The 2,572-nt window shown below is 46.6% G+C and overlaps 1 annotated feature.

Moving 5' to 3' along the window:
• Positions 1,676-1,895: a silencer, noted in NCBI's record as "silent region_8732". NCBI's record gives its function as "represses an Ori minimal core promoter by ATAC-STARR-seq in GM12878 lymphoblastoid cells {active_cell/tissue: GM12878}" and the evidence as "EXISTENCE:reporter gene assay evidence [ECO:0000049][PMID:35858748]".

The raw sequence follows: 2,572 nt of genomic DNA on the forward strand, positions 1-2,572 counted from the left end.
GAGCCCCCTTCGTCAGACCTGCAGGTGCGTTTCCCCACCTCTTTCCTGTTGAGTAGGAAGTCCCCTTAGCATCATATGTTCCTTCTTGCCTACTCTAGGACATTCTCCTCCCCAGTAGCAATGTGGCAGAGGGGCTGCCAGAGAAGAAACAAATTTACCAGCATGAGAAAATACATTGAGATGCATCTCACAAGTATTAGCAGAGTTACAGCAACGGTTCAGGGCCAGGTGAAGGGAAGGAAGAGTCCCTTGAAAATGAAACGTGTGCCCCAAACTATCTTCAAACTTCAGCCAACTGGCCTCCCACACAGAAATGAACTCCTGCCCTTGAAAAGCAAAACCCATCCTCAGAATGTCTCTTAATTAAGCCTTTTAAATCTCCTTGCCCTTCTTCGTTTTCCTTCCTTCTCTTCTTTTCCTCCTTGTTTTTCCATTGTCATCTCTTTTCTATCTGGACTGAGTTTCCTGTGTGGATTGCTCTTGGGAGTTGTGCCCTGGAAAGAGGCCCTTGGGTTAGCAGAGGGCTCCTTGCCTGCTTTCCCGTCTTTTCTGGAGAACCAGGCTGACACAGCTGCTCTGGCAACCAGTGTTTCCAAGAAGAGCCACCAAGCATGCGGAGCCTCTGCTGAGAGAGCTAGGTCAACATCCCCTCATGGAAAAGCCATCCCAGCATGTTTCTTTAGAACTAGCAAGGAGGGCCAAGGCAGACTCCAGGGTTCTTCACCAGCCTAAGATGCCTTGGGAAGCAATTGCCAGTGGTTCCATCAACAGCTTCCTTTGAAAATTCAGACCCTTCAACCTGTTCAGTGCCAACTATGCATTCCTGGTTGCACCCCCAAACTCTTGCTACATGCATATGGGTGCATGCGTGCACACACAGGGACACACACATGCACACACGGACACACCTCCTCTTGGACTGTTGAAAAGGCTGGGTTTATATAATAAAACTTCCTCTGCCACATAGACAAAAATAACCCTGGCATCCCTTTCTGGATGGATTTTAATTAGGAAAGACACAGCATTTAAATTATGCTTATTACTTTCAGTTGCTTGTACAGGCTGTGGATTTCGGAAAAGGCAATGGGAATCATGTGAGCTGGATTTCTCTAACAGGATGACTCTGAGAGGGAAAAATTGCCAAGGGCATTTTAAATCTTTCTCCTCTTCTAGACAGCCTGGCTGAGGAAAAAGGTCCATGTTCTAACATCATTATCACTAACATCTCTGAGTGCCTACTCCATGCCAGAACCCTGGGTAACAAGCATTTTATTTATTTGTTCATTTTTTTTTTTTTTTTTGAGACAGAGTCTCGCTCTGTCACCCAGGCTGGAGTGCAGTGGCACGATCTCAGCTCACTGCAAGCCCCACCTCCCGAGTTCAGGTAATTCTCCTGCCTCAGCCTCCTGAGTAGCTGGGATTACAAGCCTGTGCCACCTCCTCTGGCTAATTTTTGTATTTTTAGTAGAGACAGGGTTTTGCAATGTCGGCCAGACTGGTCTCGAACTCCTGGCCTCAAGTAATCTGCCCACCGTGGCCTCCCAAAGTGCTGAGATTACAAGCGTGAGCCACCTCACCTGGCCTAACAAGCTTTTTAAATGCCTTACCTTAATTAGCCTCAAGAATTCGAGTTTGACCAATAGACCCCATTGGGGACTATCCCTTTCTAGGGGATTCCAGGGACATACCCTTATTATGAATCAGGGGGTTCCTCCCTGAAGCTACAATAGTGACTGGCTGCTAACAGCATGTATGCAATGAATTGATGTATTAGGTTGGTGCGAAAGTAATTGTGGTTTTTGCCTTTGAAAGTAATAGCAAAAACCGCGATTACTTTTGCACCAACCTATACAAGCAAATGAATGACTGAATGTGGTGGGTGTGCTCAGAATGAATCAGATGCAGAAGAATTCTGTGTGGGAATAGAGTTCTAGCCACAGACCTTGCTGCCGGGAGTACTAGATAGATAGTATATGACTCCATTCTCCAATGAGTGGCTTTTTGGGGAGATTTAAAACTTGGAAGAACATAGAAAATTTCTCTCCCCTGCTTCTCTCTCCCAAATCTTTATAGGCATCTTAATGAGGATAAACTTTCAGGCCACAACTATGATTTTAGGCAATTATTTAGCCCATCTGGCTTTCCATTTCTTCTGCGGCTATAACACCAATATCTACCACAGAGAGTTTTCTAACAATGATTAAAGATCCAATATGTAGGCCGGGCGTGGTGGCTCACGCCTGTAATCCCAGCATTTTGGGAGGCCGAGGTGGGTGGATCACGAGGTCAGGAGATCAAGACCATCCTGGCTAACATGGTGAAACCCCATCTCTACTAAAAATACAAAAAATTAGCTGGGCGTGATGGTGGGCGCCTGTAGTCCCAGCTACTCGGGAGGCTGAGGCAGGAGAATGGCGTGAAACCGGGAGGCAGAGCTTGCAGTGAGCCGAGATTGCACCACTGCACTCCAGCCTAGGCGACAGAGCGAGACTCCGTCTCCAAAAAAAAAAGATCCAATATGTAGCTAAGCAGACCTTCTTCCCCATTTTATTGCTAAAGAATTTGGGGCTCA

This window comes from Homo sapiens, chromosome 17 (assembly GCF_000001405.40).
Source record: "Homo sapiens chromosome 17, GRCh38.p14 Primary Assembly".
Taxonomy (NCBI): Eukaryota; Metazoa; Chordata; class Mammalia; order Primates; family Hominidae; genus Homo; species Homo sapiens.